The 22,253-nt window shown below is 44.1% G+C and overlaps 1 long non-coding RNA gene across 1 annotated transcript, besides 1 other annotated feature; it reads right to left on the bottom strand.

Moving 5' to 3' along the window:
* Nucleotides 1,519-2,020: an enhancer, noted in NCBI's record as "NANOG hESC enhancer chrX:139608152-139608653 (GRCh37/hg19 assembly coordinates)". NCBI's record gives its function as "activates a minimal SCP1, AML or CMV promoter by ChIP-STARR-seq in primed H9 embryonic stem cells {active_cell/tissue: H9 hESC(primed)}" and the evidence as "EXISTENCE:reporter gene assay evidence [ECO:0000049][PMID:30033119]".
* LOC105373344 (uncharacterized) lies at nt 1,824-10,222 on the bottom strand. Its single transcript, XR_938604.3, has 3 exons — nt 10,039-10,222; nt 9,163-9,286; nt 1,824-7,736 (listed from the first exon to the last, which is right to left on the bottom strand). It is a non-coding gene; the product is annotated as an uncharacterized LOC105373344 (long non-coding RNA).

Here is a 22,253-nt window from a genome sequence, read left to right as displayed (position 1 = left end):
CAAATCAGGCATCATTTTAGTCAAATATAATTTAGATTATAGACTTTCATGTAAAACCTAATTTACTTTGAATTCTCCGGTCACGACTTGTGTGTGCCTTACAGGACAAGGTTAAAGAGATTACATCTGGGTTCATGTCAGCAGCATCTGCTGGTTAGTCCTCCGTACGCTGATTTAATGAGAGGTCATGCACAGTCTGTCGGAAAGACTTCTGTTTCAGGCAGGTGCTTGAGAGAAGTCTTCGTTTTCATTGTGATGAATAACAGGGCTTTTAGAATTAGGAAACTGATGTATCACTATCCTCAGATGTATAAAATAGTCTAATATTTGTCACCACACTAAACTTACCGGCAGAAATTACAACCAGATCTTTTTATAAAAAACAATTTGAAAAAGAATAAATGTTATTTTGAAATGTAGCTGTTTCTGCTACAATGTGATTTCTGCATATTTTCCTAAAATAATAATCATCCTAAAGAGATATATTTCTATGTGACATAACACTATACACAATTGTACAAATAATAAGTGTATTACAGGAGGAAAAATGCATTAATAACTGCTCATGCTTAATAAACAAGAGGGGAATACAAAAATAATTCATCCTGAAAATTCTAATACCAATTTTTAAATAATTTAAATTCATTAAAACATTTTCTATTTCAATTCACAAGTTCTTCAGAGAAGAGCTTAAAGATGTTCCTGTAATTATCGTAACAGGAAGGGGTTTGAGCCATTAAAATAATCTTTGGCAATTCAGTGTGATTCCCCCTATTTATTCAGCATGCTTTTCTGAGTGTGCCTAAGTCCCCCTTTGCCTTCTCTGAAATGGTCACTTCTAAGCAGTGTATCACAAAGAGGCTCAAATTCCAAAATCAATCAAGTCATTTTGCCAAAGAAAGATTTACAATCGAGTAATCTGTAATAATAAAGATGCCTTATGATAATTATCTTCTTTTTGAGCATATATTTGTGACTAGGAGTGTTAGAAAAGCAGGGAGGGGTAGATGGAGTTCTTGGTATTTTATTAGGATGAGACAAAAATCTCAGCATTTTATTTTTATATTAAAACCCAATTTTGCATATACCCTACTCACATACCGTTGTGCATACCTAATAACTGGACATAGCTCTTGACAAAACTCAGTTTAAATATTCATTTTGAGTATGCATAAAAATTATAATAAGGAGATGGGCAATTTTCTCAACAGGCCTATCATAATCATGACAAGAACTGATTATTCGTGGTAGGGGATACAGGATGAACAGGTGTTTGGGCTCAAGAGAATACATTAATTTCTCCAATTTCGACAACTGGGATCTCTACTAAAGACAATAAAAATTTTTGCATTGCTCGTATATCTGGGGGAAGCAGGTATGATAACAATGGAATAAACTGGGTTTTTTTTTTTTTTTTTTTTTTTTTTTTTGAGACAGAGTCTCACTCTGTCGCCCAGGCTGGAGAGTGCAGTGGCGCAATAAACTGGGGTTGCTCTGAAGCAACCACATGCATGGATTTCCATCTACTTTAGAATGTATTAACCTATGCTGATTTTTCTTTTAGTCATTAGCACTTTGTAAGCCTCTACACAAGCTCCACACCTCTCTCTGGCTGAGAACGATCACCAGTCTGCAAGGCCAAAGTAAAGGCTCTAACCCCCCCTGGTGTCTCACAGAACCCTCCACCCTCCCAACTGCTTGAAAGAATTCTGAAGGAAAATGGCCTCAGCTGCAAGGAATGTAAAGAATTAGGATGTTTAGTGACTTAGAAGTTGAGCGATATTGACAATTCTCCCAGTGTTTCATCAAACATTTGAGACAAGTTGAAGAGTCGGACAGAGAGTAGTTTAATTTGAGGACAATAAAAGCAAACAAACTGTCTTGTCCAGACAAGTCAATTCCTGGTTGACAGCGTGTCTGAAATAAAGTTTCTCCTACTCCATAGCTACAGTAGTGAGTGGATTCAGTGGCCAACTTGACCAACAGCCATATGCTCATTCATACACGGGTCTGAGCTGGTCCCTTGCCCAATTTTAATAATATATTAAATAAGACTGAATAAAGACAGTGGAGATATCTTACTATCTTTCGGTCCCAACATGCATGATGTGCATGAACTATTAAGGCAGACTTATGGTTATTGAGATTTCTAAAATTGTATCCTTTGATTCTTCTTGTACCCTTTCTGAATGCTCACAGGATAAATGGTTAATAAAACTCTCAATTGCAAAATATGTTATGAAAACTAGGCTGAATGTTTTTTCCTTTATTAAGCAAGCACGTCTTAGTTTGGCAGATGCCTCAGTTCTTTAGTCATCCTACAGAGTCATTGCTTGTTGGAATTCTGTCTGTTGGGGAAACTGTAGGACATAAAAGCTAGAAACATTTTTTCAAAGAGGGTTTCCTCAGAAGTCCTAGCAGTGAGTGAGGCAGGTAAAACCTGAGGTGTGCAAATTAGAATTTACATGTCAACAGACTGGTTTAACATACATTAACATACTGGTGGGTAAGGAACCATTGTTTCTGCGTTAATGAAGACATTTTCCTGATGATTGCTATGCGTTTTTGCATGACTCTCACATCCAAAGTTTTCACAAAATTTTTCTTTCTTAAGCAGTGGGGGAAAACAGTGATCTCCCTGTGTGAAGCATCAAAAGTTATTATCAGGGTGGCCAAAGTAGAATAATGCAGCACGTTAGTAACTAAAATATCAATATCAATCAATCAAAATCAGAAAAAAAAAAAAAACAAACTATCCTCTTCTCCTGTGGCATGAAATCACGGCTGTTCAAAGTTGAAGAGATTTGTCCTGCTCCGCATGAGGCTGCAGATTCAAATACAAATCCTGACTCTTAGCAATTTAGTAAAGAGAAGGCCTTGAAGAACATCACACGCGGTGACCCGGGGGTGGGGGGATAGGATGGAGGATGGATAAATAAACTCACAAGTGAATGTACCCTGGACAGAGCTTTGAGCATGCGATCTGGAAATGCTAGTTTCCCTAAGGCCACATTTGACCTTCTCCTAAAGTATCTGCCTAAAACCCTTCAGGTCAAGTGACAACTTACTAGACTCAGAAAGACTGTGACTCCTCTTCAGCCTCTGGATTAGAGTCCCCATGTTACAGAGGAAACCCTTTCAAAGACAGCTGAACCTTCACAGCTCAGGCCTAGAAATAGGGAAGGGCTGGATTCCAGGAAGTGAGAAATGCTTTCCCACAGAAGTCATCAGGAAACGCTTGGAGAGTAGAATCCCTGAATACCATGGCCCTTGCTCTCCTCCCCTGTCCTCATACATACTCCACTACTCCCGTTACCACTCAGCTCTTCAGGCCCAGATTCTTTCCTAGGCCTTGTTCTGGCAATTAGTCAGCCCTCTGTGGTCAAGACTTCTCCACACCATCCCCTCCCCTTCCCCTCCCCTCTCCCATTTCTTCCCTTCTCTGCTCAAACCTGAAGAAGCACTCATTCTCTGCAGGGCCCACTGCTAGGGCACACAGAAAGGCCATGCCATTAAGAGGATCGGATTATCTCAGGGGTGGGGGGCTGACGAATACAAAATAGGCAATAGCATTACACTGTGTTAGTGGCTGTTGCAGAGGTCAATACAGAATGCTCTGCCTGTACAGAAGAGAGAACCCACTAGCTCTGGCCCCAAACAGGGAATTTAGCACAACCTGTCTTTGGGTAGCTTTATGCTTTGAGATAGCTAAACTGTTGCCTCCCCAAAAGTTTGAAGACCTCTGAATTAAATAGTGGAGAAAGGGAAAGTATCTTATCCACTCAGTAAGATGGTGGGAATGGTGGAAGGGCACCCATCTATCTCCAAACTTCCTGGAAGTATAAACAGAATGGCTGGACCTTAACAAGAAAAAAATAAAAAAATAAAAAAGACTTTTGTCAAACAAGAAGACAGAGTGTCTCTTTTGTTTAGACTGTTTTACAGCACTTAACACCGTAGGTTTTACTTTAAAATAGTGGTATCTAAGTAACTACCTTTTTGGTTTTTTGCCTTTGCTGCCCCACCGCCCTCTGCCTCCAAAAGCTTCTACAAAAATCCCAACAATAAGAGACAAGCAGGGCTGTTCCTGTTGAAGACTTGGTGGAAAGGCCTGAGGATTCTCCCAAGGGTCTGCAGGCTCTACAGACTGTAATGAAGAATTTCTGTCCCCAGCAGTCTCCCCATGAAACTGTGAGACCCCCCAAACAGCAACCATATCTTCCTTACGTTCCTGTTCCCAGAAACTGCCACACTATCTGGTAAATGGCATGAACTAAAATGAATTAAATTGAAAAGGAAGGCTCGGGTAGGAGAAATTAAATGATGTGTGCCAGACAGACAAGAAGGTAAGTCACTCCACAGTTAAATGTGGTGGCTGAACAAACCAAAAGGTGGGGGACAAAATGAGTAAAGCTGATCTCAAGTAACTGGCAATCTGGTGCAGAGAGAGCAAAGCAAGCAACCAATGAAGACACTCTGTAATTAAAGCAACATTATATACAAAAATCTACACAGGCAAGAACACAACCATGCCTGGGGATCAGGGAACTCTGCTTGGAGGAGGTAAAACTAGAGCTAAAACATAAAGATCTAGTCACATAACTGGGAAGGAATGAAGAGACAGGTAGAGGCCAGATCAGGAAGATCCTTGCAGGCCACATTCAAGAGCCTAGTTTTATTCTAAAGGAAGTGGAGAACCACTGAATAACCCCACACAGGTAAGTTGCAGGGTTACATCTGGATAGCAGAAAGCTTAGAATTTAAGAAGCTATTTTAATAAACCAGTAAAGAGATGGTGAGGCAGTGGCTTTGAGTATAGAAAGGAAACCATGGAATGAAAAGCTATAAATTAAAAGAGCAGAACTGGCAGGGTTTGATAGCCCATCCTCTGCTGGTTTCTCCAGCAGAAAGCAGTGTCATCTCTAGCTGGATCTCCAGCTCAGTAATAGCCAGATATTTAGTGAGCTGCAGCTCTAGGAGAGAAGGAGGAGAGGGGGAGGGAAGGAAAGTAGGGCATGGGAGGGGGAAGAGAGGAGGGAAAGAGGGGGAGTGATGGGTGGGGGGAAGGAGAGTGAACTAGGTCCTTCTCCTAACTGAGCAGAGTTCAGCCTAGCCTGGAACTGTGACCAGGGCCTTTCATCTGCTTTTCTTCCTCGTTTCCAATTTTACCTTTTCCAAGTCCCTTCCTCCTCATCTCCTTTCTTAGTGCTTCCAACCTGGAAACATACTTGTTATTCGCTTAGTAGCTGGAATCGAAGAGACCTAAAAGGTCCACTCACTCACATAATTCTTAATATGGTTCCTCTCTAATGAAAGGACACATGACTTCACCTTATGAAATTGAGGATTTGAACACAAGGAGGCCTCCATTGTGTATGCTAAGGCGACCACCAACCACACCAACCTGTCTACTTCAGCAGCTGCTGAGAGAACTTCTTTAAAACAGCCATGTCTTGAGTCCACTGGTGACTACTGATAAAGCAATGGCACTAAAGGGAATGGAAAGAAAGTCACTGCCAGAATTTGCTGAGCAGCTGACCCTGACAACCTGAAAAACATCAGTAATCCTCATCAAAGCCATTTTGTTCCCACATTTGCTTTTCAGAATGAAGAACGATTTCCTTAATCAGAATCATTGCCCACACTCCAGAGTGCTGCTCACTTGGGAACATGTGTCTGCATTACTGAGTTGTTACAAGGATTAAATGAGATCACATACATAAATAATGCTTTAGTAGGCACTTCATAATAATAGCTATCATTATTATCATCAGCATTTATTCATTCAACCAAGCGGGCACTCAATAAATATTGATTGATTGATTGAATGAGTGAATGAAGTTCCTTGAAGCAGATGATGCTCTAAAAGGATGCAGACAACCTTGGCAGTTTTCAAACTAGTCTACAAGTATTCATCTTGAATATTTGTTTAGGACTTTTCCATTTACAAAGTCCTTTCACATAAGATTTTTCTTTCATTTAAATTGCAAACTGCTCTAACATCCAGCACACTCAACTCCCCTTACCCTGCCCTATTTCTTACACAGCACTTGTCATCTTCTCATATACTATACTTGTAACTTTACTATGTTTAGCTGTTTATTGCTTGCCCCCCCGCCCCCCACACCCCTGCCCCAGGCCAAATGGAATGTAAGCTCCACAAGAGCAAGGCTCTTTATTTTATTCTCGGATGTATTCCAAGTGCCTAGAAGAGTTGGTACTCAATAAACACTTGTGGAATGAATGAATGAATGAATGAATGAATGAATGCTCCACAGCCCATTGGTTAGACGGGGCATAAAGTTAGACTCAAAGGTTGCTGGATTTGGAGAAAAACGTTAGAGCTGGACTGATTGTAAGACATACAAAATGAAAAACTAAAATAAGGCCTCGGGTAGGAAGTGAAAGTGGGAGGGAACTCCTCCCCCTTCTGGCTTTAGGTTAAAGGGACTGAAATGCCTGTAGGAACCTCTCCTCTCGAATGCAGCTTCATTTAAACTTTTTGTTCTTCATAAAAAACAGCTCTTCACTTACAGACGGTATTTTATAATTTACAAAAGCTTTTATCTATTATATCACTTCAATAACATAACTATCTGAGAAGGCAATGGTCATGCCCCTTTAATAGATAAGCCCATGGAGGCCAACAGAGAATAAGTGAATAACCCTGGGGACACAGCTGGCATACCACAGAACCAGTACTCAAACCCAAGGCTTTGGCTTTCTGGTGCAGTACTCCACAACTTCCCCATGTTGCCTCTCTCGTGCGTAACAATTACTAACACATTTTATTTTTTGGCCTGACATCTCAGAAATACTGAAAAATGGCCAAATTTCTTCATTACAATGAACAACTGATTACGAACATCACTATGATAATGATCATTATCCTGTTCAAAAACTGTTGACACACTATGTAAATTCTACCAGGTGGTGGAGGAGGCTTTGCTGGCACCTCATTGCACAGACAAAGCCAAAGTCCTCGGCTTGGCCTTCAATGTTCTCCACAATTTAGCCCCAAAGCCCACCTTACATTACAGCACCTTCTACCTCTTAGCCACACTGATTGCCTTGCCATTTCCCAAACGTGCCTTGCCATGGGCTGTTGTGCTAGATGCTTCTTCATCTGGGATCCTTGCCATCTGTGATTTTTCAAGGCACAACCTACAACTCAGAGCCCAGCTTCTCCAAAACTCCTTTCTAAATCATCCCAGACAAAATGAATCCCTCCTGCCCCTCTACTCCTGCAGCACAGGACACCTTTGTAAACACCCTGAGGAGAGGCTGGCTTTTGTTGCAGTTACCAACATGTCTCCTCTAATAGACTGAGCTCCTGGAGAGCAGCATCTGTCTCTCCCACACTGCCCAGGTCGAAGTAACTGATAAAAAGTAATTGATAAACAAGAAGCACTTAACAAGACTAACAACAGCCCAACGTCTTGACTTAATACAACTGTAAATGGCTGAGCAATCAATTATTCCCTTTCTACCATAATGAAAGTTTCTTCATGTCAGAGAGTATGTCTAATCTCTACCTGGACCTTCGTTATGCCCTCCTTTAGCAAATGCTTTGTGGCCCTCAAAAGTAAGGGATAACTTACCAAAAGGAGGACAAAAGGGACCACATAGGCCTGTTAAAATGGAGTCTCCTTTGTAATTTACAGAGTTATTCCTGGGGGCCACCGACAACAGCTGCCTCTTTTCAGAGAATACCACCATATATTTTTAAAATGAAACTGAAATGCAAAAATCAGATGAAAATTATGTCAGATGAGAGATATTAAATCTCTAATGAAATAGACTGGAGGAGAACCCAGGTTATCTGGACTGAGGGTCACTGAGACAAAGGGGAGAACAAAAGATCATAATAAATGAATAAAAGAATAAACTAGGCTGGGCACGGTGGCTCACACCTGCAATCAAAGCACTTTGGGAGGCCGTGGCAGGCAGATCACAAGGTGAGGAGACCGAGACCATTCTGGCCAACATGGTGAAACTCCGTCTCTACTAAAAATATAAAAATAAGCTAGGTGTGGTGGCGCATGCCTGTAATCCCAGCTACTCAGGAGGCTGAGGCAGGAGAATCGCTTGAACCAGAGAGCTGGAGGTTGCTGTGAGCTGGGATCGCACCACTGCACTCCAGCCTGGCGACAGAGAGAGACTCCGTCTCAGAAACAAACAAACAAACAAAAAAGAATAAACTAAACAAAAAACAAAAAACAAAAACAAACAAACAAACAAACAAAAAACAGGGAGATCATCTGTATTTTACAGTTGAAGAAACTGACATCCAGGGACAGAAAGCAATTTCTCCAAGATCACACTTGGACTGGTAGGAAACAACCAATTTAACATCCAAAACAATGAGCATCTATTGAGTATCAACCATATACCAGGCATTTTCACATCCACCATCTTATCTAACAGTCACATACCACTCTGAGAGATATGCTTAACAACCAGAATGAGCATCCCAATCCACAAACCTGACCATGTCACTCCCCTGCTAAAAACCATTCAAAGAGATTCAGTGACTTTGGGAATGGCTTGAGGAAGCCTCTTTTCTGGAGATGCATCAATTAAGCCAGTAAAAATTTGTAAAGAAAATCATTCAAAGACTCCGGAGATTGATCAAAAGACAACAAATTGAAAAGCATTTATTCAACAAAATATATAGAAACTAGGTCACATGAACATGATCCTCTACAGTGGGAGGCTGAAACATTCAAGGTAAGGGCAGCACATCCTCTCCCCCAACAGCTGCACTTTACAGATATGGAAACTGAGAGTCATATAATTTAAGTGATACTGTAAGTGGAACTTTGAACCCAATTTTATCAGGGGTTGCTACTGACTCTCAGTGCTAATGTGAAGTCACAGGAGAGAAATGCTTCAGATTTGGGGTATTACTGTGGGAACACTCTCTAAATCTAATCTCCAAATGTGGTATCTCTTTCCTTATTAGCACACAATGAATGCCTCTCCTGTAAAGTTCCAAAGACTAGCCCTACATCGTTAGGGCTGGAAATGTAAGGACAAACCAAGGATGGCAGCAGAAGTTTTAAGAAGCTCTAATGCAGATGACTATCCACTATTCTGCTCATTCTGAAACCCAAAGCACCCCTGAATTCCTCCCCCTCCTGAAATTCCCACAAAGCTCACCTAGGATGCAGAGCAGGTGGCTAGAGATGGTTGACTGTTCCAGGTAACTTTTTGATCCCTCTACTCTTCCAATCCCAGAGGCTTTCTTCCTGCCCCATCCCACCACAGACGAGGGCATCTTCTCCTGTGGATACAGAATTAGAATTTAGCTTTCTTAGCTTGGTTCTGCTTCTACAATAATTTTCTGTCAGAAGTGCTGGAACTGATGGCTCTCAACAGTGCAAATAGGAGAATGGCCATTTCTGAAGAAAATCAAGGGCCACTCCAGCTTTATTTGTTTATTTTTATTTTTAATTTTGGGGGTACATAATAGGTATATATATTTATGGGGTACATGATATGTTTTGATGCAGGCATGCAATGTGAAATAAGCATATCATGAAAAATGGGGTATCCATCCCCTCAAGCATTTATCCATTGAGTTGCAAACAATCCAATTACACTCTTTAAGCTATTTAAAAATGTACAGTTATTATTCACTATAGTCACCCTGTTATGCTATGAAATCATAGGTTTTATTCATTCTTTCTAGTTATTTTTTGTACCCCATCACTTCAGCTTTCAGTGCTGTTAAAAATAGCATCATACGGGAACTTTTGGAATCTTCAAAACCTTACAAGGAAAAGGGCCCTTACAAAGCATGTAGCTCAACTGCCTCACTCCACAGGTCAGGAAAGTGAGATCCAGAGAGAGGAAGGGTCTCTTTGTAAAATCACACAATATGAAAATCAGGCCCTTCTAGGGCAGTGCAGTGGAAAGAACCATCATTTACAGACAGATCAAATCTCAAAGTTTTGCCACTGAATGTGTAACCTTAGCCAGGTTGCTAGGATTAAACAAACAAAGTTATACCTGTAAAGGTCATGACAGTGTTACCTTGTAGTAAGTTTCAATAAGTGGTCACTATCATCATAATTTCCTGGAACCTTTAGCAAACACATGTTGGCATATATATGTCATAAGCCAAGAGATGAACACTGGAGAGTGAAAAGTCAAGGACAGTGAATTGGATGCTTAGATCAGCAGGCTGCTTTGCTATGACCTTCCATGTGAAGCCCACCTGGCAGGGATAAGGAACAAAATACAGGATTCATTTGACTGCCAAGAATGAAAGGAAATAAGTGTCACCACAAGAGATTAGTGTGCACTGCCTGAGAAGTTCACACTAGCGTATTGCTTTACCTATTTAATCCTGAATCTGACTGTGTCAATTTTAATGTTTCTAATTAGTGTACCTTGAGACCTGGGGAGATCTCTCTCCAGCCCACTTCTTGGGGAATAATCTAGAATGGGGGGACATTCCTTGTGCTTCCTCTGCCATTTGTCACCGCTCATTAAGACATTTGCCTTTACTTAAATATAGAAAAAATATGACATGCTTCTTAATCGGGCATAATTACTGATAACACTGCAGAATATGCAACTTAATAATAAATGCAGTCATTGGCAAAGTGCATATTACAATTTCATGGAACGATAACTGGACAGTGTCAAGAAGTGTCCTTTCCATGCCTGATTTTGCCAATAACAAGCTCCACCCTTTTAGACAGTCACTTAATCCTTTTGAACCTGTTTACTTATTTGTTAAAATATAAATAAGTTTGCCCTATCTGTGCTACATAGCTCACAAGGTTGCTGTGATGACGATAACCTAACATTTACTGAGTCCTATGACTAGGTATCAGGCACTGATTCAATACTTTGTTTATATAATCTCATTTATTTCTTTTTGTTTTCTTTTGAGATGAGGTCTCGCTCTGTCACCAAGGTTGGAGTGCAGTGGTGCAATTATAGCTCACTGCAGCCTCTACTTCCCCAGCTCAAGGGATCCTCCCATCTCAAACTCCCAGGTGATTGGGACTACAACCAGGTAATTCTGACCTCAGGCAATATACTCGCCTGAGCCTCCCAAAGTGCTGAGATTACAGGCGTGAGCCACCGTACCCGGTCAGGATTCTTTTTAATAAGAACTAAAGTGTCTCTAATTTATTTATTTAAAATAATTTATATAATTCTCTTTTATTTCTTATTTTTGAAGCAGGGCCTTGCTCTGTCATCCAGGCTGAAGTGTCATGGCAGGAAGACAGCTTGCTGCAACCTCTGCCTGCCTCCTGGGTTCAAGTGAACCTCTTACCTCAGCCTACCAAGTAACTGGGACTAATGGCTCAAGCTACCACGCCTGGCTAATTTTTGAAATTTTTTTTTTTGGAGAGACAGGGCTTTGCCATGTTGCCCAGGCTGGTCTTGAACTCCTGAGCTCAAGCGTTCCACCCTCCTCGGCCTCCCAAAGTGCTGGGATTACAGGTGTGAGCCACTGCGCCTGGCTAATTTTTGTAATTCTCTTCAGCAGCCACTGTGAGGAATGATAAGACTTTGTGCTGGTGATTAGAATTACTTTTTTTTTTTTTATTATTATTCCACTTGGTCAGTTGTGCCTACTTCTGAGGCCTCAGAGAAAATATAAAAGCTATAAAATTGGAACAAGACTTCTTTCCTAATTCAGCAGGATTCCTGAAGTAATCTATAGAAAGAACATATTTCTACTGATCTCTGAAAGTAAAAAAAATTAAACCTTATATTTTAAGCAAAAAAAAGGATTTAAAATATGTATGACACTAATTAATTGTACATTTTTAACAGCAGGCATGTGTCTATTATAAAAGGTATTTTATGTTATCTCAGAATTAAACACAAGAGGCCTCTCTGTCACAAATGAAAACCCCCATCATCTCAGTGAGTGCTCTCCAGAGAGCTTTGACAGAAACAATCTCAAGTGACTCTGTCGAATGTGGGAGACTGCAATGCAGAATTGGAACCATGGAGTAATTAATTCATTTTTTTTCTTCCATTCAAAGGCGACTTACTTAAATACTATGATTCATTCCACAAACATCTGTGCATAGCCCTGTAAGGGGTATAAGAAAGTGAAACATGGTTCCCTCTTGTCCATACTGGAGGAATGTTCAATCCTGTTTGGGATAAAAGAAAGCGTAGTTGAAAAACAAGACAACAACTCTTATTAAGCTGGCTCTGTATGAAGCAGAGTACCAGGTGCTTTCAGCTGTATCATCTTGTTGAATCCTCACCCTAATTCAGTGAAGAAGGCCTGACTACCCAACTCCATCAGATGACAAAACTGAGGTTCAGGAAGATTTGCAAACTTGCTCAAATCATACAGATGGTAAATGCTCAAATTCAAGTTCAAATTCAGGTTTACCAGACCAATCCCATTGTATTTGTTTTTCCTACCACACCACACTACTCTAAAGTGAAAAACCATACTCAGTGGTAAGCAATTTGGTATTAAGGGGAGAGAGCTAAACTAAGACCTGAATCTTGACCCTTAGAAATTTCATAGAAGCTACTAAATGCCAGTCTAGAGCAGGGCCAGGACTAATGTGAGGCAAGACAGGCACCTAGGACACAAAATTTAAGGAGGCACACTCCCAGTCGTGCAAAAGCCCCAACTGGCTGGGCACGTTGGTTCATGCCTATAAACCCAGCACTTTGAGAAGCCAAGGCAGGAGGATCACTTGAGGCCAGGAGTTCAAGACCAGCCTGGGCAACATAGCGAGACTGTCTCTACAAAAAAAAAAAAGTTTTTAAACAGTTGGACATGGTGCCACGGGCCTGCAGTGAGCTGTGATCATGTCACAGCAGCCTGGGTGAAAGAGGGAAATCCTGTGTCTACAAAAAAAATAAATAAATAAATAAATAAATAAAAATCATCCTAATCAAAACCCAAGCAAATAACTGTCCTGGTCTCTGATTGCTAGAAAATCAAGGAGTGTCTTGACACATTCAGTCCCTAAGTTCTGTTGTCTTCTAACAGTTAAAGCACAGACAACTTTACTACATTAATAAGAAGATAATTGATTTAATTCAGGGTTGCATTTGTATAACCTTAAGAGCAGGTACTTCCCTAAATTGTGTGCCCTAGGTGCCCGGCTTATCCCAGCCCTGGTCTGGAAATTCACCCTCTTCTTCCTACAATCTTAGAGTTTTAGGGCTGGGTTGGAGATTACAAATCACTGCCAGCCAGTGGTAATGGTGGTGGTGATGGTCATGATGATGATGATGATGATGATGATGATGATGATGATGATGAATGGCATTATTTGAGTGCTTACTCACTTCAGATTTTGGCACATGCATCACCTCCCAAAGAGGCATTTCCTGAACATTCTATTTAAAACATCAACTCCCATCACACTCTAGACCCATATCCTACTTTGTCTTCCTAGCACTTATTACTTCCAGACACTCACTAATTCTCTTTATTCATTTGTTTATGTTTATTGTTCCCGTCTTCCCCTAGAATGTAAGTGTGACACATTTTTATTGACCTTGCTTACTTATGTCCATGTGACCCTTGAGCCTGTGCTCTTATTCACCAAGATCTAACAAAAATCGACTGGCGCAATTCAAGGCTTCTGTACAAGGATTCTGCCCTGGGGGATTTCTTCTCAAGCATTAGGATCCCTTCGTTTCCTTAATTTTAAAACAAGGAAACACCCAGGCTCTATTTTACGTCAGCATCCTGAGAAATAGTTCTGCTACATATGTTGTCCCCTTCCAAAGCTGCAGTTAAAGCTTCAGTTTTCTTTGACAGCAGTTTTGGGACTCCCTCAAACTCCTTCTCGGTTGACCACAACATCACATATTGATACCTCTTTCCAAAAAGAAAACCAAGTGCTATAGTACATAAGATCAGACTCACCAAAATACTCGCATAGCTCTCAGTCTGGACAACTTCCAGGCTACTGATTAGCAACCACACATTGCTAACTCCTACCACTAAACTTCACCTTGGGAACGTGGCAGTTTTCCTCTGGCTCCTGCAGAATTCTCTGTGAAAGCAGGCACCATCATAATGCAATAGACAAGAGGGACCGTCTCACCCTTGCATACTGGTAAGATGATGCCCTTTATTATAGGAACCCAAGGGTAGGAAGAGTCAAGGGACTTGATTGCCAAGGAAAAGCACCTTCTTCCAGTTGCCAAGGAAATCAGATATGGCAATGTCATACTCTTTGGCAAAATGCTTTTAAGAACTCCACTCTGACATCCATTTGAACAAAGCAACAAAGAAGTTAATGCTCAAAAGCAAAAAGCAAACATACCAATTCATCCATATTTTTGATAAAAATGTGACAAGAAGCCATCAAATGGAAGCATCAATTTTCAACAAGAAATACATGCTGAATACAGGAGCATACGAAGTATTTTTGTTTCATTTTGTTTTGTTTTGTTGAGACAGTGTCGCTCTGTCACCCAGGCTGGAGTGCAGTGACATGATCATGGCTCACTGCAGCCTCGACCTCCTGGGCTCAAGCAATCCTCCTACCTCAGCTTCGTGAGTAGCTGGGACTACATGCGCATGCCACCATGCCTGGCTAAATTTATTTTTTGTAGAGACGGGGTCTCACCATGTTGCATAGGCTGGTCTTGAACCCCTAGCCTCAAGCAATCCTCACATTTCAGTCTCCCAAAGTGCTAGGATTACAGATGTGGGCCACCACATCTGGCCCATAAGAAGCATTTTGGTAGCAACTTTTTTGTCATTGTTCTTCAGAAATGCATACTTTGAATAGTCATCCTAGTGGCTCTACTCCGTCCATCCTTTCTAAACTGGCCATCTACCTCTGTTTAACTTTATTTAAAGCATCAAGGGAATGACACCTCTCAGGGACCCGTCCATGGTTATTATGTTATTTGGTTTAAGTGAATTTATAGTTTTGTTAAAATGTTCTTTGTTTTGTGAACAAATCAATTATCCTTAACTGTATTTTAAAAAGATTCTAAGCAATTTTATTAGCACAACCCTAAACAGGAAAATCGCCAACCAACCCCATTGAATTGCACTATTGTTTAGTTATTCAAGGAATTTATACAGTGATTTATAAAGATCAGATAGATAAGCATTTTACTTTCAAAGGAAGTAAAGCCTTCCCAGCCTATAACTCTATTTTGATGTTTCTAGAACATATATCTACAGGCTTACTAAGACTCACTGCTATTATTACTGAATTTTTTTCTCATATTATTACTTTATGTGTATTGAAAGGTTTTATTTTGTAGCACACCATAAAAACATAATTTTTTTTCTTGCAGGCTAGATAATTTCACCAAAATGGTAAAGAATTAATATTTCTAAAATGAAATTATATCTAATGACACCAAACCAATGGGGTTAGCAAATTTCAAAAATTTTATTTTTAAAACACAAAGATGTACAAACCAAATTATGGTCTAAAGGGCATAGCAAAATTATCTAGAGATGGATTGAGCTCTGTGAACAATTAGAAACAATACTGAAAGCTGCTCATTTATGTCCCTCTGTCATCATCTCGTCTGGGTCTTTCAATGATGGACTGAGAAATATAGAAAAAAAAACAAAGCAGGGTTTTCAATATGGTTTTTTTTTTTTTTTGGAAACAATAAAAACATTAAACTTTATGTATATAAGTGTCTGTGTACCGAATGGTAGTCCTTTCATGAAAGTCCAGCTTGGGTTTTGTCTGAGTGGGGAAGTGGGGAGGGAGTCTGTGAATACCCCCAGAGTCATTTAAAATATATAGTATTAGCTAATTGATGACAGGACTAAAAACAATAGTAAGTAGGCAGCCTGGCTGTGAGCCAGGAACAAGGCTTTATGGTGAAAGCGAGTTTACATTAGAGGCCTGTTTTTCCCCTTTCCTTATATGAAATGAACAGCTGTAATTGAAAAGCAAGGAGCTCTATGGTTTATAGAAATAGGTGTTGTGAAGAGCCTTGGCCGTCTAATTTTCTTCCTATTGCAGGGCAGGCTTCCATTGTCTGTTTTTTAGAGCTAATTTCTTTTCTGATCAAAAGGCCCACGTCGTTGAAAAGGTAGTAATGACTATTCATTTGGCTGAAGCCTCCATTCTCCAGACTGCAAGCTTTATTTAGAAATGGCTATTTCTTTCTAAAAGGAAAAGCTCATTTATGTCCTCTATAATGTCAATTAAAGTAGAATATATTTTAATTATTTATCCTGAGGAGAAACCTTTTAGGAACTTAATTTAGTATGCCTATGTTATGCAGACACTACAATATGTGAATGTGGAATGATATCTAGACACATGGGTTTTATTTTATTTTACCACTAATGAATAGTTTATTTGCAACTAATTAACAAGTTAAATCGGCACAATTAGTGTCGGATTTCTTTAATAATATAACTCATAAAGGGATAGCCATTGGAACTAGAAAATAAGGTTGGTTGTTGGCTTTGTAAAGAAACCATTCCACAAAAGGGGCAGTTTTTTCCCATTAGAAAGGGTTATTGGGACGTTCTTCCCGTTGCTTTTTCAAATGAAAGCTGGTCTGTGCTGCGGGAGGAAATATGTTCAGAAACAAGGGGAGATGGTGTTAATTACACAAACATCACATTAGCAAAGCCCCGACGTCCTAACTCGGCGATGCTTTTCGGAGAAATGGAATTGGGATGACAGCGGCCTAGACGCCAAAAAGCCATCACGGCCAGACCTCTCGACAGATCTCATTTTGTCGCGCCGTCTGGCCGCCAGCCCGCGGGGAAACGGGTCTGCCTGAGGATAGGCATCCTCCATACCTGGCAAGCAGCAAGCGGCACGTTAGCTGTTCCTGGGCCGCGTCCCCGCTCTCCGTCGCGAGCAGCGGCCCCAGAGCCTCCCTTTTAGGCCACTCAGACGGCAACGCCGGGACGCTGGACCGCCAGGGCTCCAGGCACGCGGGCGCTTCCCCCTCCGCCTCTCCGCTAGCTGGACTCTGCGCCGCCGTGGGAAAGCGCGCGCGCGCTGGGGAATGAGCGTGGCCCCTGCAGGTCGGGGCGTAGCGACCCCGCTCACGCCAGGTCCTTGTCCAAGATGTTGCGCTTCTCGCGAGGCCCGATTTCTCCGTAGATCAACTAGGGGGATGGGGTAGCATCAGGCGAAAATTTCTTTCTCTCCGAATCCGGAGTCCTCTTGAGACTTTCCCAAGCCATTGCCACTATCTGATACGGAATGGGAAAGTGCAGGGTCTCCGTCCCGTACTTGGTGCACAACTCAGCACATAGCAGGTGGATGACAAAGGTTAGTGAAATGAAAAAAAAAAAAAAAAAATGAGGGCGTTGAAGAGATGAAAAGAGAACATAGAAATTCTGCGCACCAAATTCCACGGCTTTCCACTCTCTTAAAAGAAAATGATAAATAAAAAGAAAAACAAAGAAATAAATAAAAGAGTGGAAAAGGAACCGCTGAGTGCTGCCTTCGAATTTAAAATTTTCTCCAGGATGCTCTACCCAACCCCCTGCCATCCTGCGCCCCCTGTGGTTGGGGCGATAGCTTTGCTTGGTCACGCTGGAAGTGCCTGGAGGTCCACTGATTTTCCAGGCACCCTTTCCCGAGAAGCGCTGCCTTGCCTGGTGGACCCGAATGGAATTGTGGAGACATGGAAAAACTCAAACAGCATTGCATACTGATAACGATTTTAAGATTACTTTATTGGCCCCGGCTTCCTGCAGGTCACCTCGCCTCTGTACAGGTGAGCGCTGTGCCTCTGCAGTCACAAAAGGAAGTGGAAAGGGCAACAGGCCCAGTGGGAGGGCAGGCCTGGACGTAGGGGGCCGAGTTCCCCGAGTTGCTCCGCAGGGGTGGGGGTTTGGCAGTCTGCGGAGCTGAGCGCGTGAGGAGAGTTGTGGGGATGGGCAAAGACGGGTGTAGGAGGGGGGTGAGAGGCAAAGAGGCTGACAGCGATGGCTCAGCAAAGCCCGCTGGAAATGGGACCCAGTGCATGGGCAGAGCCTTCCTTCCTCCGGGAAAATGGCAACTTTCGGGTGGTGAGGTCAGCGAGTAAAAGCAGAAGGCAAAGGTTGTCAAATTCCTTGGAGTTGCTGCGCACATAGGGAAAAGAGAGCTGGTGATTAACACCTGAATACTCTGTGGGTGGAAGGAAACTGAGCGCCAACGTGTGGGCCGAGGGGACTCCCAGTGTATTTTCCAAGTACAGCTCAGCCAACCAAGTGAATTGAATGCGGAAACTTTTTTAAAAGTACCCCCGCACCCTCCCAAAAAAGAGCAACACCAAACTACGATAGAATACAGTTGTACAGCCCGCAGGAGACTTTATGGTACCTCGAGGACCTTGTTTTCCCATACCTCGCAGCTCCTAGCAACCTTTCTTTAGAGACCATCGACTAAGTTATTACAATCTACACCCACCAGCCTAGGGTCTTCAGCTGCTTCTGTGACCTGTAAGAAAGAGTACTTCCGCTGGAGACGGTGCTACGCGTTGGCGGAGTGGGGCTGGGGTTCCTACTGAATGCTCCAGGAACTGGAAGGTGCTGTCTCTACCACCCCGTTGAAATGATGGTGACCTTTCTGACCTTTTTTTTTTTTTTTTTTTACAAGGGATGGTTCTACAATAGACCTAAGCCTATGATTTTTTGATCAAGGCTCTCGATCAGCGGCCTAAATACACAATCTTGGCTAGAAGCCAGAGTAAACAGACAAGGGGTGTTCTCAAGGGAAAAGATAGAAATGACTGCTTTAAGAAACGCAAACTGTTGCGGGTTTGTTTTTGGTTTTGTTTGTCTGTTGAAAATCAAGGCGTCTCCGAGAGTCCCCAGGATAAGTTGTTCTCACTTCCTAAAAGCCAGACCCCGAGCTGGGCTTGGCTACACTTGAGAAACCTGAAAGGCGAACGCTAGGCCACAGCCGGAGGGCAACCTTTGCTGACCCTATTGTCAGGCTTCAGCGGGCCCAGGCGAGCCCAAATACCGCCCACCCCACCCCACTCTCCGACTCTCCGTCCCCCAAGCGACACAGACACACATCGGCCCCAAACCACCCAGCACGCAGAGGACACCCTTCTTCTTCTTCTCCTTCTTTTCTTTTCTTTTTTTTTTTTTTTTTTGAGACGGAGTCTCTCGCTCTTGTCGCCCTGGCTGGAGTGCAGTGGCGCAATCTCGGCTCACTGCAACCTCCGCCTCCCGGGTTCAAGGGATTCTCCTGCCTCAGCCTCCTGAGTAGCTGGGATTACAGGCGCACGCCACCAAGCCAGGCTAATTTTTGTACTTTTAGTAGAGACGGGGTTTCGCCATGTAGGCCAGTCTGGTCTCGAGCTCCTGACCTTAGGTAATCCACCCGCCTCGGCCTCCCAAAGTGCTGGTATTACAGGCTTGAGCCACCGCGCCCGGCTGAGGGCACCTCTTCTAATAAGTTGGGTCCTAATCATGCCAGGGACCTTGAAAAAGGTCCCCTATGAGCAGTTACTGAAGAGGAATCAATGCAGATACCTCCGCGCGAGTCGTGGGACAGCTCCTTTCCTGCTCTTTCCACCAGTAGCTCTAAGGCACAATTGCTGAGTGTTCTTTGCAGATATAAGGCACTTGGGACACCTGATGTCGGCCAAGCCTAGAAATAGGAAGAAGGCAGAGCAGGGGTGCCCTATGTACCCAAAGCCCATTGGGCCAGTCACGCTAGAGTCTTGGTCCCGGAGTTTTGCTATAACCCGCCCTCTAAGGATAGGCATCACATCTGCTCCGCCGCAAATCCGCTTGGTCTCTTTCGAAGGTTGGGGCGACCTCCAAGCCCCGCAGGGCGAAGCGGCAAGAGGCTACGCTGGGTGAAGTTTCCAACCGAAGCCAACAAACGGCGCTATTGTCGCGCCCTGGGTTCTGGGAGCCCCAGGGCTGGCTCCAGTCGGAGGGAGCGGGAGCTCTCTAGGAAGGGCGGGGGAATGGGGAGGAGGCCTTGGTCGGGTTCCCAGCGCCAGATCCGGAGCTCTGTGAACCGCCCAAGGGCACTTGGAGGCTGGAGAGGGCGAGAGAGCTGCTGAGCGCGCTCTCTTCTCCTGAAGAGGTTGAAGGATCGGTCCTGGTTCCCACTGCGTTCCTCTGCTTTCCTCGCTGGGTGCAGGGTGCGCGTCGGAGACACTGGAGTTGGGGCTCCGCCAGCTGCCCTGCCTTCCCGCAGCCCCAGCCGGAACCGAGGCCTCCTGCGCTGTGGTACCTGTCGCGACACCTCTCCCGACCCTTAGCGAAGGTTGCGCCGCTGGGCTGGTGGCTAAGCCTGCGCTGCAGGTGGGCTAAGAACTGATTTATTTCCAGCCTTCCCCCATCTCCCCACGCCCGCAATGGTAACCTTGCTTGTCTATTGAAATGATAGCTTGTATTTAGAAAGTGTCCTGGCAAGAGTTTCCAAGGAAATCTGGCGTGGCTCTTACTTGAGAATGTGCAGATCACCCCAGAACCACCAGATACGGAGATTTTATGTATCTACCCCCCGAGAGGGAGCTGGCCTCAGCGAGAAGCCGGGAGAATTGGGAGAGTGTGCCTGGTCCTGGCAAAAGACTGCTGTAAATCTGGCAGGAGGATGTAGGGCAAAAATGAGCTCACCTAAGCCTCGGGCTAAGTGTGATCAAATGTCAGACAGCTGGGAGCAGTGACTAGTTTCCCCTGGTAATCTGCTGCGGGGAGGGTGTCGGCCCAGCACCGTATCCCCTGCCTTGGGAAATATGCAGCCCAGGCGCTGTCACTGCAACGTTTACTTGGGTCCTAAAACTTGGAAAGAAACCTGACATCTGTGAAGCTACTGGACGCCAGGCCGCGCGTCGGTTGGGTAGTTTCCTAAAACGCGCTTCACTTAGCAACAGCCTCCAGGGCCCAGAAAAGCCCAGAGAGGGCATGCGGGAAAGACGGCAGGAGGGCAGAGATATTGCACATTGGCTTCTGTAGGAGAGGATGGATTTGCCTAAGAAAGTTTGACCTTGTCGGCCACTTCGCCAAGAAAACAGGTGCAGGTAGGGATTGCCTAATCATTATGTTTTCTGAGACGTACTTATCAGCTCACGTTCGCTACGCGCGCGCGCGCGCGCGCGCACACACACACACACACACACACACACACACACACTGTATCTACACACAGAAGCCTTCCAGAGAGTTTACTTACATTTAAAACCCTAAATCCGTATACCCATCCAGTTGACTGCAGCCCTTGGCTGCAGAATACTCAGATCAAGTGGAACACAAACTTAAGGGGCAAGTTTCCAGACCCCAAACTTCCGAGAGATGATGCCGACTGGGAGCCGGGATTCTTTTGCCAGAGGTCCGCCTGGCCGAGAGGGGGCTGGCCTGCCCTGAGCCTCCACTCCCCCCCTGACCCCACTAACAAGCCGAAGAGGCGTACTTTTTAATTCGTGGAGAGAAAGGGGGAAGAGCCCAGCATGCAGAAGTCCCGGGATCGCCTGGTCTTGCATTAACGCTAAGACGCTAGAAACCTGGGATTCCCCCATGCGCCCCCCACCCACTTAAGATTATGCTTTCCGTTTAGTTCCCCACCTTTCCACGGGGCTAGGGATGATGGGGGGGCGAGACCCCACACCGTATGGACACCTTATTTTAGTTTCTGCCAAATCTGCCGGGATGGCTTCTCATTCCCACTCGCTACCTCGGGCTGCTCCGAGAGTTTCAAACGCTGTGCCACTCGCTTCAGCTGGCAGTGGCGATTATCGGGGTTTCCTCTCCCCGCAGCCAGAGTTCCCGCGCCGCTAGTCTTTGGCAGATAACCCAACAAGCAAGTGAATGTCCCGCTCCGAATCTCAGGAAGTCTCTAAAACAATAAAAGAGACGGACGGAATCCGTTAGCAGAGCCTGCTCCCGGGGGAGGCGGCGAGGCTGCGCGCCCAGAGTAGCGCTCAGCGGTCCCGGCAGGTGCGGGGGCAGTGGAGGGGGCCCGGCGGTTCGCCCGGAGGACGGCCTCGGCTCCGCTCCGGCCAACGTTCCCCCCTCCAAGAAACTTTTCTTTCACTCTGAGAGGCTCCGTGTTGCCATGAAAACGGATTTTCCAAGGGGCCCGACCCTCCCCCTCAGGGGCATCGGACTGGAAAAACCGAAATGGCCACAGAGCAGAGACAAAAAGGGGCCGCTAAGCGGGGGCCAGGATCGAGAGAGCGGAGGCCAGTTCACCCCCTACGTCCCACACATACTTTCCACACCACCTTGTGCGAGCGCCTCCGACAGGCTCAGGAGACGGGCGACTGACTGCTTGCCCGCCCTCCTGCAAACCCCCAAGAGCCTCACAGCCGAATGCACCCCGCAGTCC

The sequence above is a fragment of the Homo sapiens genome, chromosome X, assembly GCF_000001405.40.
Source record: "Homo sapiens chromosome X, GRCh38.p14 Primary Assembly".
NCBI lineage: Eukaryota > Metazoa > Chordata > Mammalia > Primates > Hominidae > Homo > Homo sapiens.
Note: the sequence above shows the minus strand (reverse complement) of the source record. Positions and strands in the feature narration are given on the sequence as shown.